Genomic DNA, 17,340 nt, shown 5'->3' on the forward strand with positions numbered 1-17,340 from the left:
TATAGATTTAATACATTTCTTATTTTTATTTTATTTTATTTTATTTTTTTGAGATGAGTCTCGCTCTGTCGCCCAGGCAGGCTGGAGTGCAGTGGTGCGATCTCGGCTTACTGCAAGTTCCACCTCCTGGGTTCACGTCATTCTCCTGCCTCAGCCTCCTGAGTAGCTGGGACTACAGGTGCCCGCCACCACGCCCGGCTAATTTTTTGTATTTTTAGTAGAGACGGGGTTTCACCGTGTTAGCCAGGATGGTCTTGATCTTTTGACCTCATGATCCACCTGCCTTGGCCTCCCAAAGTGCTGGGATTACAGGCGTGAGCCACTGCACCCCGCCAGATTTAATACATTTCTTATGAGAACCCCTTTGAGATTTTTGGGGAGGTAATCTCACAAAATTATTATTTTTTTTTCTTTCTTTTTTTTAAGAAAAGAAAGATCTCACTCGCTCAGGCTGGAGTGCAGTGGCATGTACTGCACTACACGGAGCTCACTGCAGCCTCAAACTCCTGGCCTCAAGCAGCCCTCCTGTCTCATCCTCCAAAAGTGTTGGGATTACAGTGAGCCACCATGCCTGGCCAACAACAAAATTATTCTAATATTCACTTGGAAGTTTTAAAAAAACCAACATTGCAACTAGACTAGATGATTTTGATAAAACAACAGTTGAGGGGGCCTCTGCCAGGTATTTTCAGTGTTACAAAGGTGCAAGGATAGGCCCCTGCAATGGGGCGACCCAGCCTTGCTCAAAAGGGCCCAGCTACTCTGCTCTGCCTTATTTTCTGCATTCCCTGAGGATTCCCAGGGTGTGGCTTCCATGCTATTGAGACTGCTCTACAAACACGCCGCCCTTTTCTGCATCCTGTCTATTCCACACGTGTTAGCCCCCACTAAGTTGTGTGGTATCAGTTATACTGTACGTTCTTCAAGAACTGCTGTAAGCTTTTCATTCCATGGCCTGCCTAATGCAGAGCAAGACCTCAGTAGGTGTTTGCGGAATAAAAAATTTTAACGGCTCCTGAATAGAGAGGTTAAAAATGTAGAAAGGCATCACAGTCCATGTGGGAGAGTAGCTCCATGGTTTCTCTCTATAGATAGCTCCCCGAAAACACCCACAGTGAGGCTCTGTGAGAAACGGGATTATAGGAGATTTCTATTTTCTTTTTCACCCTTTCCTGCATTTTCTACATTAAACACATGTGACTTTAATAACATTAAATATTTCAAAGTTATAAGCAAAAAAAAGTGTAAAAAATCAAATCATAAAAGGCACAAATCAAAGTTATTGTGTGGCTGGGCATGGTGGCTTACGCTTGTAATCCCAGCACTTTGGGAGGCCAAAGCGGGCAGATCACTTGAGGTCAGGAGTTCGAGACTAGCCTGGCCAACATGGCAAAACCCCATCTCTAAAAAATGGTAGCTGGGTGCGGTAGTGCAAAACTGTAATCCCAGCTACTCGGGAGGCTGAGGCAGGAGAATGGCTTGAACCCAGGAGACGGAGGTTGCAGTGAGCCGAGATCGTGCCACTGCACTCCAGCCTGGGTGACAGAGTGAGACCATGTCTAAAAACAAAAACAAAAACAACAGAAAATACTATTGTACGAATATGTTTATTCTGAACTTGAGCTGGAGTAAGCATCTCTAATATCACTGAAAATAAATGACAAAGAGACGGATGGATTTCTTTTTTTTTTTTTTTTGAGACGGAGTCTCGCTCTGTCGCCCAGGCTGGAGTGCAGTGGCACGGTCTCGGCTCACTGCAAGCTCCGCCTCCCGAGTTCACGCCATTCTCCTGCCTCAGCCTCCCGAGTAGCTGGGATTACAGGCGCCCGCCACCACGCCCGGCTAATTTTTTGTATTTTTTAGTAGAGACGGGGTTTCACCATGTTAGCCAGGATGCTCTCAATCTCCTGACCTCGTGACCCACCCGCCTCAGCCTCCCAAAGTGCTGGGATTACAGGCGTGAGCCACCCCGCCCAGCCAAGAGACTGATGGATTTCATAAAAATGTAAAATTTCACATCAAAACAATATAATCCCCAAATCAATTACGTAAGTCCAAACGTGGCAGAGCTGCCTGGCAGAAAAGGCAGAACCACTAGCTCCATACACAGACACAGGAAACTCTGACCAAGAAGAGCAAGGGTCCCATGCCCTAGGGCCAATGGGGAGTATCTGGAGACAGTGTCAAAAAAAACTCAAAGAGGCCAGGCGCGGTGGCTCAAGCCAGTAATCCCAGCACTTTGGGAGGCCGAAGCGGGTGGATCACTTGAGGTCAGGAGTTCGAGACCAGCCTGGCCAACATGGTGGAACCCCCATCTCCACTAAAAATACAAAAATTAGCTGAGCGTGGTGGCAGGCACCTGTAATCCCAGCTACTGGAAGGCTGAGGCAGGAGAATCGCTTGAACTGGGGAGGTGGAGGCTGCATTGATCCGAGATTGTGCCACTGCACTCCAGCCTGGGCAACAGAACAAGGCTGTCTCGAAAACAAAACAAAACAAAACAAAACACCTCAAAGGGCCCAGAGGAAGGCAAAACAAGGACACTGGATCCCACAGTTAAACAAAAACAGCTGAGGTCACTTAAGTGGGAATGTTTCTTCCCCTTGCCGTAGCAGGAGGCTTGGTGTGTCTCATGCAAACAGCCCATTTGCCCTTCAACCCGCCTCCCTGCCAACAACCGGCAGCCCCTCCTGCCACCTGCTCAGTGGCTTGCCTGTAAGCACAGCATCACTGTCCGGCACAGCTTACCTTTTCTGTAGCCTGGTGACACATGTGATGTCTGTGCTCAGCCCATCCACTCATAACACAACATTTCATCTCTATTCCCTGAATCCCAATAATCCTCCCTAAGGATGGCATGATCACTGTCTTCGATGGTTTAAAAGGTTGATAAATGAAAGATTTGACTCTTTCTGTGTTGTACCCACCCACAGGGTGGAGAGGAGACTAACAGTGAAATGAGCATTTGGCAAATGGCTGTTCAGAGAGGAATTTCTCAAAATTCTAACTGTGGTGGAGCAGTCAAAGGAGAAACGCCAAGGGTCTAGAGTAGAACGTGGTTTCCAGCTGTCTTGACATCAGGGCTGCTGGCCCACAGACACACTTCCAGAGCCACCCCTTCCAGGGTCACCATGGCCCAGTCCTGCTCCAGATGCCATCTGCCCAGCAGCCCAGGGGAGAGTGTCCAGCCTTCTAATGTGAGCCTCAATCTGAACCCCTTTCTATAACAGAGGCCAGACCTCATAATCTCATCAGCAGCTCTGGCCTGCTGCTGCCGTGGCCGCCCTCTCCAGCCACTGGCGTTAACTTCCAATAACATAGGGACTTCTAAATGAAATCCACTGTAAAAGGACAGGCCATATCACTTTAAAAGACACTTGAAAGCACTTTTGGTAATGGCAAGATTTGCGATAAGTGTATTACATTATCCCAAGATCCATGCTCACGGTCCACTGTCCACCACTGCACCCTCAGCCCCTGGCCCCTGGCAGGCCAATAGCAATCTGCAGAATGAATGAATGAATGAATGAATGAAGTGCATTTCAGAGACTGCAGCCTCATTTGAGGGGATAATTTGGGGGTAGGTGCAGTTTTAGAGCCCCTCCTCTATCTGCCACCTATCCAAAGTCCTCCGTGGCCCAACAATCAAGTGCATGTTTAGACTAATAAGCAAATGAAGCCACCTGCAGCTCTATCCTGTCCCCACCCCTTCAGGACTGTGTCATTTTATACAGGTTTAAATTCCCTATCAAGGATAAGACTAGGCACAAAACATGGGGGGCAGGGGAGGGGATGCAAAAACTCAGTAATCTTTTAATGCAATCTTTTAAAAAATCGAAATTAATGCAAAAAATCCATAATAAAATATTCAAATTTAATTTAATTTAATTTATTTATTTTGAGACGGAGTCTTGCTCTGTCATCATCCAGGCTGGAGTGCAACAGGGTGATCTCAGCTCACTGCAACCTCCGCCTCCTGGATCCAAGCGACTCTCCTGCCTCAGCCTCCCGAGTAGCTGGGATCACAGGCGTCCACGACCACACCTGCCCGGCTATTTTTTGTGTTTTTAGTAGAGACGAGGTTTCGCCATGTTGGCCAGGCTGGTTTCGAACTCCTGACCTCAGGTGATCCACCTGCCTTGGCCTCCTAAACTGCTGGGATTACAGGCGTGAGCCACCGCGCCCAGCCCAGAATATTCAAATTTTAAATAAAGACAGGACCAGTAACAATGTACCCTGTGGAGCCATTTTAAGAGTCTGAGGCGAAAGGAAAAAATAGGACTGAATTTTTTCATTACTTTTGACTTTTTTTAGAGACTGCATTAAAATATTATTTATCTTGATTGCTATTTTGGCAGCCTCTGAAATCCTGTGCTCATGACAAATGCCTCACTGGCCTCACCCTAGTCGCGGCCCGACCCTGCTAACGGTATTTCTAGAAGATGGGCAGAGGACAAGCCAAACCCCGGGAGGGACCACGCGGCCTGGGAAACAGTTCGGCAAGGAGGCCGGGCCCCTGTCCCGCCTCTGAGGGCGGAGGACTCGGCCTGCACCGGACCCAAGCGAGGGGCAGTCTGGCCTCTGCTGGCAGAAGCAGCGCTTCCAAGTATTTTCATATGGTGACTTTGCAGAGCTGCGCGGTCCAGACGAGGGTTTCAGGCTGCAAAGCGGGAAAGTCTTGGGGGCCGCTCTGCGCTCCAAGACAGACGCCCACAATCTCTTCTACGTCGTGCAACATTCAAGCAGGCGGCCTCCTTCCCGCGCTTTCGCGCCCACAGGCTGGGCCAATCACAGTGCCGCACTTTTCATACTGCCCGACAGGCGGTGGGCGGGCCGCTGGTGACTGTTACCCAACAGGCGCCGCGGCTGCTCCGGTGGCGCCACTGACTCGGAGGCGGCTGCGGAGAGCGGGGCGCTGGCCCGTGGAGGCGGCAGCGGCGGCGGCTTTCTAGCGGATCCGAGGTGCGACGGACAGAGACGCGGGGCGGCAGGTCGGGCGGCGAAGCCGGCGAGGGCGAGGCCATGGGCTTGAGCGGTCGGGGTTGGCGAACCCCGCGTGTGGCCGGTCCCGGCGGCGAGGCCCGTCCCGCTGAAGCACGCGGGGACTCCGAACGGCGGTGTAGGCGAGGCCAGCGAGGCGGGCGGGGGACTGGCGCGTTCCTTGGGCGGCACTGGAGTTCCGGCGCCCTCATAGCGGGCGCCGACACCGCAAAAGTCGTTCTCGAACGAAGTCGCGGGGCCGGTCTCCCAAACTTGGTTATGTCCCCGGGGAAAGCTAGAAATTCGCACATATGCTTCTTCTTGCCGTGGAGACTGATGGAGCCTCTGCTGCGGGGCGGGGACTCTAGCGAGAGGGGGACGTGAAGTTCGTTCCGTACTCAGGCGTGTGTGCCCCTGACCGACGCGTAGGACGCCCTGGAGGACGGCGCCAGCTCCTGACCTAGTGTGAGGTGCCCGGACGGTTTCCCTAAGAAGCGCGTATTTAAGATGAGATCTGAAGTTGAGCGTGAACTCAAGGTGGGGTAGGGGGTGGGCAGGCGAGAGAACGCACAGGGCCTGACTTTTTGCATTTTTTTAGTAGAGACGGGGTTTCAACGTGTTAGCCGGGATGGTCTCGATCTCGGTCTCTATCTCCTGACCTCGTGATCATCCCGCCTCAGCCTTCCAGAGTGCTGGGATTACAGGCGTGAGCCACCGCGCCCGGCCAGGGCCTGACTTTTTAAGGAAATGGAAAGGAGGGTGTATCTGGAAGACACCAAGTGCCAAGGCTAACACAGAGCCCGGACCGTTGTAGGGTTTTACAGGACTTATTCAGATTTTAATCTGTCTGAAAACAGTGACAGTCCGTTGCTGAGTTTTAAGCAGGAGCGTAACTGATTCGATAAGCATTTTAGAAAGATTATTCTGGCCAGATGTGAGGTGATTGTCTGCATAGCTGTGAGAGTCAGGAGTTAAAATTGACAAGACCTCAGGGATAAGGGAGGTGTCAAGGGCGAGTCCTGTGGTTTCTGGCGATACCATTCCCTGGAGTTTCGTGCACTGGAGGAAATAGTTCGGTAAGTGAGAACTCAAAGAAAATAATAAAAATGGGCATGTACCTAGGAGTGGAATTGCTGGATCATGTGGTTGTCTTGTGTTTAACTTTCTGAGGAAGTGCCAGACTTCTCCAGAGTGGCTGCACCATGTTACATTCCCATCGGCAATGGATGAAGGTTCTGATTTCTCCATGACCTGCTCAACACTGTTGTTACTGTTATTGTTATTGTCATCCTAGTGGGTGTGAAGTGATATCTTTTGGTTTTGATTTGCATTTCCTTCATGACTCTTGATAAATTGAGCATATTTTCATGTGTTTATTGGCCATTTGTATATCCTCTTTGTCAAGTCATTTGCTCATTCTTAATATTGGGTTGTTTGCCTTTTTATTGTTCAGTTGTAAGAGTTTTTTCTATATTCTAGATAATAGACCTCTATCGCATACATGATCTGCAAGTACTTCCGTTATACTAAAATTTTCTCTTTGGCAAACGTTTTTAACTTTGGGTGTCTTCATATTTAAGAATGAAGCTTGCAGCACACTGCAGATTTCATTAAATGCAGATTTGAGTGTAGAATCAGATGTGAATGAGAATCCAGCTTGAGATAGTGTTGCTCTTCTCACCAATTTTTTGAAAATATGTTTTTAATTTAAAATTTTACTTAAGTAACGAATGTATTTTCTATGAATAAATTAATAAATATTTGAAAATGTTGCTTTAATTTCTAATATGGTAAGTATTGATGGATATTACCCAAATAAAAAAAAATACTCCTTGGGACTCTCAATCCTTTTTTTTTTTTTTTTGAGGCGGAGTTTCACTCTTGTTTCCCAGGCTCGAGTGCAATGGCATGATCTCGGCTCACTGCAACCTCCGCCTCCCAGGTTCAAGTGATTCTCCTGGCTCAGCCTCCTGAGTAGCTGGGATTACAGGCACCCACTACCACGCCCACTCTATTTTTAGTAGAGACGGGTTTTCACCGTGTTGGCCAGGCTAGTCTCAAACTCCTGACCTCAAGTAATCCACCCACCTCGGCCTCCCAAAGTGTTGGGATTACAGGTGTGAGCTACTGCGCCCAGCTGGGGTTCTCAATACTTTTTAAGAATATGAAGAGCGGGCTGGGTGCAGTGGTTTATGCCTGTAATCCCAACACTTTGAAAGGCTGAGGTAGGTGGATCCCTTGGGCTAGGGGACCATCCTGGGCAGCATGGTGAAGCCCTGTCTCTACAAAAAAGTTATCCAGGCATGGTGGTGCATGCCTATAGTTCAGCCATTTGGGAGGCTGAGGTGGGAGGATCACCTGAACCCAGGGACGTTGAGACTGCTGTGAGCTGTGTTGCTACCATAGCACTCCAGCCTCCAGCCTGGGCAACAGCGTGAGACCCTGACTTAAATATATACACACAATATTTTGAACAATCAAATGTATCAAATATATATGTATTTGAATTATCTTGGCCCGCTGCAACCTCCATCTCCTGGGCTCAAGTGATCCTCCCACTTCAGCTTCCCAAGTAGCTGGGAACACAGGCTCACACCACCATGCCCAACTAATTTCTTGTATTTTTGTTAGAAACAGGGGTTTCACCATGTTGCCTAGGCTGGTCTGGAACTCCTGAGCTCAAGTGAGCCACCTGCCTCGGCCTCCTAAAGTGCTGGGATTACAGTTGTGAGCCACCGCACCTGGCCAGACCAGTTCATTTTTATACATAATAACTCTAGTTATCTTATAATCTAAGAAGAAGGAATGACTCTTAACTTGGAGCCATTCCATATTTGTCCTCTTAAATTGGGATGCTCTATGCCCTTCTCTGCTTCTTCTTAGCCTGGCTAGCCCCTACTTGACCATCATTTACTTTTTTGATAAGTTTTTCCTTACCTTTATTAATGCAACTGTGCTATACAATTATTGTCTACTTAACTGTCTTATTTAACCCCAATTGTCTTATTTAACTTTGTGAATCCCAAAGTAGGTACAGGTTATATTTTTCTTGGTGAGAATTTTAGTTTTTAATTGCTTTTTTTCCTTTTTTCTATCAAGGATTTGAACATAAAATTAATTGCTTTTTAAAAACAACTAGCAGTTTGAAAAACTCCAAATATATTTTTGAGCATGTTACATTTTATCCTTTCAGTCAAAATCAATACTAAATGAGTCCTACCCCCAATGGCTAACTCTTACTCATCATTCAGATCTGAGGTTAAGTAACTCTCTGAAAAGCCTTCACTAATCCTTAGACTAGGTTAAGTCTTGTATGTTTCCCATACCACCTTGTGTTTCTCAAAATATCCAGATTGTAGGAATTACTTAGGGCAGGGGTTCCCAACCCCCAGCCTGAGCTCTGCTTCCTGTCAGATCAGCAGCAGCATTAGATTCTCATAGGAACTCAAACCCTGTTGTGAACTGTGCATGTGAGGGATCTAGGTTTCGTGCTACCTATGAGAATCTAACTAATGCCTGATGATCTGAGGTGGAACAGTTTCAGCTTGAAGCCACTACCCTACCTCCAATCCTCTGGTCCGTGGAAAAATTATCTTCCACAAAACCGGTGTCTGGTACCAAAAAGGTTGTGGACTGTTGTCCTCGAGTATTGTTTCTGGGCCCCAAATTAGGCTGTTGAATCTATATTTTTAATGAGCGCCCTAAGTGATTCTTATATCAGGTAAGTTTGGGAAAACATACTCTAAATTTATAGAAGATTTATGTGCATCCATCCCCCTTTTGGAAATTGTATGCCTGTTGTGCTTCATAGAGCCAGTGACTGATCACCTCTCTGTCCTCAACACTTAACATATAACTTAGAAAACAGGCTCAGTCATTACTGAATAATATATTAAAGAGTGATTCTCCAAAGAAAGGTATTCGTCTCTGAAACTGGAAATGTAATTGCTTGGTAATAGGGTAGACATGTATTTAACACCATTAGAAATTGCCCGGTTTCCAAATGGTTTTAACAATTTGTATTCCCTCAAGCAATGTATAAGAATTCTAGTTTGTCCACATCCTCACCAATATCTGGTGTTAGCACTCTTTTAAAAGCCATTTTGGCCAGGTGCACTGGCTCATGCCTGTAATCCCAGCACTTTGGGAGGCCGAGGCGGGTGGATCACTTGAGGTCAGGAGTTCAAGACCAACCTGGCCAACATGGTGAAACCCCATCTGTACTAAAAATACAAAAATTAGCTGTGTGTGGTGGTGTGCACCTGTAGTGCCAGCTACAAAGGAGGCTGAGGCAGGAGAATCACTTTGACCTGGGAGGTAGGGGTTGCAGTGAGCCAAGATCACACCACTGCACTCCAGCCTGGGCGACAGAGCGAGACACACACACACACACAGTCTCTCTGTCTCTGGGTGACAGAGCGAGACACACACACACACACATACTCTCTCTCTCACACACACACACATACTTTCTCTCTCACTCACACACACACACACAAATTTTAAGCCATTCTAATGAATGTGAAGTGGTACCGTGGTTGTTTAAATTTGCATTTCCCTGATGACTAATGATGTTGAGCATGTTTTCATACCTATAAGCAATTTAAAAAATCTATTTGTACAAGTTATTTATGTAATCTGAATAAGCGTCTCCTTTTGGATATATGGATTGTGAATACTTTATTCCAGTCTTTGGCTTGTGTTTCCATTTTTTAAGTAATGTCTTTTGATGAGGAAAAGTTTCTTAATTTTGCTGAATCCCAATCAACAACTTTTAAATCAACACCTTTTGTGTTCTAAGAAATCTTTGCCTATTCCAAAGTCATGAATATATTGTTGTGTTTTGAGAAACATTATAAATTTGGTTTTCACATTTAAAAATATGATTCATCTCACTTTTATTGTGGTGTGAGGTGTGGGTCCAGGCAATTTTTCCCTCTAGGTAAAAATCTAGATAGTAGAAATATACTTGTGCCAGTACCATTTATTGAATATGCCTTAGACCTTTTTTTTTTTTCTTTTTTTTGAGACAGAGTCTTGCTTTGTCACCCAGGCTGGGGTACAGTGGCGCAATCTCAGCTGACTGCAACCTCTGGGGTTCTGCCTCAGCCTCCCAAGTAGGTGGGACTACAAGCGTGTGCCACCATGCCCAGCTAATTTTTGTATTTTTAGTAGAGACAGGGTTTCACCATGTTGGCCAGGCTGGTCTCAAACTCCTGACCTCAGGCGATCCACCCTCCTCGGCCTCCCAAAGAGCTGGGATTATAGGCGTGCGCCACCACGCCTGACCAATACCACATTTTCTTTACCTGGTCTACTATTGATGGGCACCTGGGTTGATTCTATGTCTTTGCTATTGTGAATAGCACAGTGATGAATGTACAAGTGCATGTGTCTTTTTGGTTGAATGATTTATTTTCCTGTGGGTATATACCTAGTAATGGGATTGCTGGGTCAAATGGTAGCTCTGTTTTAAGTTGAGAAATCTCCAGAATGTTTTCCACAGTAGTTGGACTAATTTACATTCCCACCAACAGTTCCCCTTTCTCCACAGCCTTGCCAGCATCTGTTGTTTTTTGACTTCTTGATAATAGCCATTCTGGCTGGTGTGAGATGGTATTAATTACATTGTGGTTTTGATTTGCATTTCTCTGATGATTAGTGATGCTGAACATTTTTTTATATTTGTTAGCTGCTCATGTTTTCTCTTGAGACGTGTCTGTTTATGTCCTTTGCCCATTTTTTAATAAAGTTATTTGTTTTTCACTTGTTGATTTGTTTCAATTCCCTATAGATTCTGGATATTAGGCCAGAATCTATAGGTAGCAGATGCATAGTTTGCAAATATCTTCCCCCATTCTATAGGTTGTCTGTTTACTCTGTTGATAGTGTCTTTTGCTGTGCATAAGCTCTTTAGTTTAATTAGGTGCCACTTGTCTTTTTTTTCTTTCTGCAATTGTTTTTGGGGACTTACACATTCTTTGCCAAGGCAAACCAACAGCCAACATTATACTGAATGGGCAGAAGCTCGAACTATTCCTCCTGAGAACTGGAACAAGACAAGGATGCTCACTTTCACCACTCTTACTCATTGTAATACTGGAAGTCCTCGCCAGAGCAATCGAGCAAGAGAAAGAAATAAAAGGCATCCAAATAGGAAGAGAGGAAGTCAAACTGTCTCTGCAGACTATATGATTCTATACCTAGAAAACCCCATAGTCTATTCCTAAAAGCTCCTAGATCTGATAAACACCTTCTGAAAAGTTTCAGGATATATCAGTGTATAAAAACCAGTAGCATTTATATACGCCAACAATGACAAGGCTGAGAATGAAATCAAGAACATAATACCACTTACAATAGTCACAAAGAAAATGAAATGCCTAGGAATACAGCTTACCAGGGAGGTGAAAGATCTCTACAAGGCGTACTGTAAAGCACTGCTGAAAGAAATCAGACAACACAAATAAATGGAAAAACATTCCATGCTCATGGATAAAAAGAATAAATATTGTAAAAATGGCCATACTCCCCAAATCAATCTACAGATTCAACACTATTCCTATGAAACTACCAATATTATTTTTCACACAATTAGAAAAAACTATTCTAAATTCATATGGAACCAAGAAAGAGCCTGAATAGCCAAAGCAATGGGAGAAGGACTCCCTTATTCAATAAATGGTGCTGGAATAACTGTCTAGTCATTAGTCATATGCAGAAGATTGGAGATAGACCTCTACCTTTCACCATATACAAAAATTAACTGAAAATGAATCAAAGACTTAAATGTAAGACCTCGAGGCCAGGTGCAGTGGCTCAGGCCTGTAACCCTAGCACTTTGTGAGGCCAAGGCGGGAGGATTGCTTGGGCCCAGGAGTTTGAGACCCGCCTGGACAACATAGGGAGACCCTGTCTCTACAGAAAATTTTAAAATTAGCCAGGCATGGTGTTGTACACCTGTAGTCCCAGCTACTCAAGGGGGTAGGTGGGGGAGTGCTAAGGTGGGAGGATCACTTGAGCCTGGGAGGTCAAGGCTGCAGTGAGCTCTGATGGCACCACTTTACTCCAGCCTGGGTGACAGAACAAGACCCTGTCTCAAAAAAATTAAAACAACAACAACAACAAAAGAGTAAGACCATAAACTATAAAAATCTTAGAAGACAACCTAGGAAATACTCTTCTTGACATCAGCCTTATTTATTTCTTCTTGTATTCATTTTGGAAGGTGGTTTTCAAGGAAGTTTGTCCACCTGAGTTGTAGAATTTGGCAGATAAAGTTGTTTATTATATCCTCTGTAATTTTAGTGGCTGTAGATACCATAATAATGTTCCTTTACTATTCATGACATTGGTATTTTGTGTTGTCTCTTTTTCTTAGATACGTCTAAGAAAGGGATAAGAAGGGTTATAAATTTTGTCAGTCTTTTTAAAGAAACAATTTCTGGTTCTATTAACTTTTATCTATTCATCTATTTTGTTTACTTCTCCTCTTTTATTATTTCCATCCTACTTTCTTTGGGCTTAATATTCCTGCTTTTTCTAGTTTCTTAAAATAGAACCTGTATGAGAAAACTGTTATATGACACAGTGTAGGACTGTGATTTCTGAGAGAAAGGAAACACCCAGCGTGAGTCCTATGATGATAGCCTGGCTTCCTGCCTGGAAGCACATTGCAGACCATGGAAAAAGAACAAGGACTTCAAGCAAAGCAGAGGTCTCCCTGAGTTGAGACAGAGATTGGAGTTCAGAAAGGCTAAGGCGTTAGAAATTGCAGGACAGTGTTCCTGAGAGAAGGGAGATATATAAAAGAAAAGCTCCAGAAATCTGCAGGGGGACTCCCCCTTGAGACTTGTCAAACACTAATATGTGTATTTGTAGTTACAGACTGATGAAGTTATCCCATGCCTTGACCTTAATGTATATTTCTTCTACCCAGAGCATTCTGCTCAGAAGTTGCCCACCTGGCAAGGAGTTTTGAAAATGGGTGGGGTGGGGGGTGCGGGGAGTTTAGTAAGTCCCACTGTCACTGCCACAATATCTACTTTTTAATATTTCTCAATTTTATAAGATTGTTATCTTTTTCATAAATTCTCTAAAACTGCATATTTTCATTTATAAGTAGCTAAACGTATCATTTTAATAGTTTGTCTTTAAATCAAGAGATTTCACTCTGTCATGTAAGAACTTCATTTAAGTTTTTAATAATAAGGATAATGACAGGCTAAGTAATTCAGGCCTCTTATTCACTGAAGGCAATTTAAACACCTAGGGAAAAAAAAAATTTGAGATGGAATCTCGCTCTGTTGCCCAGGATGGAGTGCAGTGGTGCAATCTTGGCTCACTGCAACCTCTACCTCCCAGGTTCAAGTGATTCTCCTGCCTCAGCCTCCCTAGTAGCTGAGATTACAGGCACCTGCCACCACACCTGGCTAATTTTTTATATTTTTAGTAGAGACGGAGTTTCACCATGTTGGCCAGGCTGGTCTCAAACTCCTGACTTTAAGTGATCTGCCACCTTGGCTTCCCAAAGTGCTGAGATTACCGGCCTGAGCCACTGCGCCCAGTCCTGGAAAAATATTTTTTAAAATCTTCTCAAAAGCATCTGAGAACTAGTCAGATAAGAAGTTACCAGGTCACAACTTGCAAAAGAATAGGAACCTTAAGAAGTAAGCCTAGCATTACAAACAACTTTTGCCCTGAAAATATTTGCAAATTTAGAAGAAATGATTTGAGAGGATAGGCTGTGCTTTTGACAGCCTTAGGGCAGTAAGAGGACAAAAGTCAGAGTCTTTCGGGTGATCAGAGGTGAGACCCAAGGAATAGATTATTTGGCTTGGGATCCAATGTGCTTAGGTTCCCAGAGGGCTGTGCCTTACAATTAAAGTAAACCAGCCCTTCCTCAGACTATACTTTTCTGGGTAGCCTAGAACATCTCAAATTTCAGTTAGAGTAAAGAGATTCCAGATTACTAATTCCCTATGGCACCTAGAAGTAGCAAACAAGTTCTCTCTGAGGGACAATAACATCATTTTTAGGTTCAAATTATTTATATATACAACTTATCAAATATAGTTCTAGAACATAATTAAAACATCACCAGACATCCAAAATGACAAGACATAATGAGTCAGAAAACAATAATAGACAATACAAACAGATCCACAGAGATTCCGGTTACTGGAGTTACTAAATACAGACTGCAAAATAACTATATTTACTGTCTTTCAGGAGAAAACAGCCAATGTTAAAAGTTTTACTACAAATCATACATTAAAAATGGCATTACAGGGCCGAGTGCAGTGGCTCAGGCTTGTAATCCTAGCACTTTGGGAGACTGAGGTGGGCGGATCACTTGAGACCAGGAGTTCGAGACCAGCCAGAGATGGCAAAATCCCATCTCTACAAAAAAATACAAAGATTAGCTGGGCATGGTGGCTTGCACCTGTAGTCCTAGCTACTAGGGAAGCTGAGGTGAGAGGATCACTTGAGCCTGGGAGGTCAAGACTGCAGTGAGCCATGATCGCCCCACTGCACTCCAGCCTGGGTGACAGAGCAAGGCCCTGTCCCCTCACCCTCTCCCCCCAAAAAAAGCATAACAGAAAAAAAAAAAAACTAGGTAAAAATTCTAGAACTAAAAATTTCAGGTAAATTAGGAACTCAGTGGATGGGTTTCACATCAAAATTAGTTAGAACTATAGAAAGAATTTGTGAAATGGAAGGTTAAACTATCCAGACTGAAGCATGGGGAGACAAAAGGATGGAAAAATACAGAAGCAAGGTAGGAGATGTGACAGATACAGTGAAAAGGTCTAACATAAGTTCAACTGGAGTCTTATAAAGGAAACTACTTCTAGAAATCCCCAGTATTTTATAAACATTTTCCATATTATAAATAAAGATCTACCTCTTTTGTTTTTATAAGCTGCATGATAGGTATTCCATTATATTAAAACGCTATACTTTTTGATGCAATCCCCTTGGCTGTTTTAAAATTTGTTACTAAAAAATAATTCTTCAGTGAACATAATTGTGCATATCATCAAACATATATGCCAGCTTTCTTCCATAGGAATAGTCCTAGAAAAAGCATTTCTAGGTCAAGGAATATGTACCCAACATTGTCAAATCATCTTTCAGAAGGTTGGAAGAATTTCAATTCTCATTATATATGAATGTCCATTTCATGACCCTTAATAACACAATGTATGATCAGCCCCTACCAATTTGATAATCAAGAATCCATCCATTTTAATTTACATTTTTGACAGTAACTAGTCTATATATTTTTTTAATATAGTTGACTCTTTCAAGTCTTATGAATTGTCCAAACATAACTTTCATATACTTTTCTTTTGGTATATTACTAGTTTGCAGGAGTACTTTATGCATTAGGTCTATTACCTCTTTGTTTGCAATAATTTTCCTGAGTTTATCATTTTGTTTAATCTTTTTCTTGGTTCTAATTATTTTTTAAACTTTTTTCTTGACCCCCGACTGTCTCCTTTCTTTGTTTCCCTTTACAGCAAAAAATTTGAATGAAATGTGTATACTCAGTGTCTCTAGTTCTTTCTTTTACTTGTAAGTCTACTCCAGACAGGCATCTTTCAATATTCCATGTCTGCATCTATTGGTCTTTCTCCTACCACACATATTGCTCCTTCTCACTCTCCTTTGTTGGTTCCTCTTTATCTCTTCAACCTTTTTCAACTTTGGAATGCCTCAGTGCCTAATTCTTGAGTCTCTTCTCTGCCTGTTTCTATATTCAAGCAGTAGGTAATTACATTCAAGTTCATAGATTTAAATCTGTATTCTGATGATTCCCAAATTTGTATCACTAACTAGGTCAGTGCTATTCAGTAGCACCACAATACAAGCAATATATGTGATTTTAAATTTTCTAGTAGCCACATACAGTGGCTCATGCCTGTAATCCCAGCTACTCAGGAGGCTGAAGTGGGAGGATCACTTTAACCCAGGAGTTCGGGGCTGCAGTGAGCTGTGATTGTGCCACTGCACTCCAGCCTGGGTAGAAGAGCAAACCCCTTCTCTTTAAACAAAACAAAATAAAAAAACCTTTTTGACTGAAGAATAAATCAAAAATGGCAAACCTTCATGATAATATTCCAGCCCCTTTATTATTTTTAAAAAAGGCAGAAAGAGGTGAAATTATTTTTAATGCTTTATTTAACACAGTATATAAAAAATATTTCAACATGTAATCAAATAAAATGTTAATGATATGTGTTTTTCATACTAAGTCTCTGAAATCTGGTATGTGTTTTACACCTACAGAACATCTCAATTCAGATTAACCAGATTTCAAGTGTTTAATAGCCATGTGTGGCTGCTGGTCAATGCAGCTCTAGGTAATTTTGCTGATCTCCAGACCTCTATATCTCCATTTGAATGTCAAATAGATATCTCACAATTAACCTGTTTCTCTTACAATATGCATTCATTTTAACAAAAACAAATCCTCTTGGTTTGAACCTCAGTAGATCCAGTATCTAATCACTTTTTATCTCCTCTGTTGCAGTCACTGTGGTCCCAGCTATCACATCCTGACTGGCTAGGTATCTGCATGGTTCTTTTCTTCTCTTTCAGTCATTTTTCCAAGTCTCACCTTATCAGAGAAGTATTCCTTTGTTACTGGCCAGGTCCAGGTCTGTTATGCCTATGCACAGTAAATCAATCACTGTAACACAAATTTTGCAAAAGAGAAAAGATTTATTTGCAAGGGCATTGAGCAAGGAGGAGGGAGGGAGAAGAGCTCTCGAGTCTGCCTCCCTGAAGAAGATAGGGCTTAGGGATATTTATGGGTTAGGGAAGTAGAGTGGTCTAAGGCATGGGGAAAGGTGATTGGCACAGAGGAAAAAGGAAGTAACAGGTTTATTCTGCACAAACCTAGCCAGAGTTCATGGCATTTCATAGGATGCTTAGGAGGATCTGAGGGTGGCATTTTTGGCCCTCCAGCATCAAAAGGCCACCTCTCGGGCATTTGCATTGGCCCAGTTGAAGGGTCTGTGGTCTCAACCAGTTTGAATTGGACAGGAGCTGGCCCAAGTTTCTGAAAAACCGAAGCAACCATTACTGTGGTGACCTTTGAACATTGTCTATAAAGTGGCCAGGGAAGGTTAAGTTTGAATGTCACGCCCTTCAGCTGCTGCAGCCTTCAACTTCCAAAGAAAAGGAAAAAAAATGACAAGACGCAAGCTACCAAAGGCAAGCAGGGCAGGCAGACCTGATCAAATTAACCCTCAGTTTCACCTGGACTACCTTATTTAAAGTATAAACCTCTCCTCCTCACATACAAATACATATCCACAAAAATCAGTATTCCCTTATCCCTTCGATGCT

General features: G+C 43.5%; 1 protein-coding gene across 8 annotated transcripts in view; it reads left to right on the forward strand.

Moving 5' to 3' along the window:
• Positions 1–4,879: 4,879 nt before the first annotated feature.
• RBM44 (RNA binding motif protein 44) overlaps positions 4,880–17,340 on the forward strand; it is a 44,027-nt gene continuing 31,566 nt past the window's right edge. For 6 of the 8 annotated variants that reach the window (NM_001080504.3, XM_017004054.2, XM_005246075.2 and 3 more), the window contains exon 1: positions 4,880–4,962. The gene's annotated coding sequence lies outside the window, so the exon portion shown is untranslated. Of the gene's footprint in view, positions 4,992–5,648; positions 6,057–17,340 lie in introns of those variants that run through there. The other 2 variants (XM_017004055.2, XM_017004056.2) reach the window with 2 other exon arrangements.

The sequence above is a fragment of the Homo sapiens genome, chromosome 2 (genome assembly GCF_000001405.40).
Source record: "Homo sapiens chromosome 2, GRCh38.p14 Primary Assembly".
NCBI lineage: Eukaryota > Metazoa > Chordata > Mammalia > Primates > Hominidae > Homo > Homo sapiens.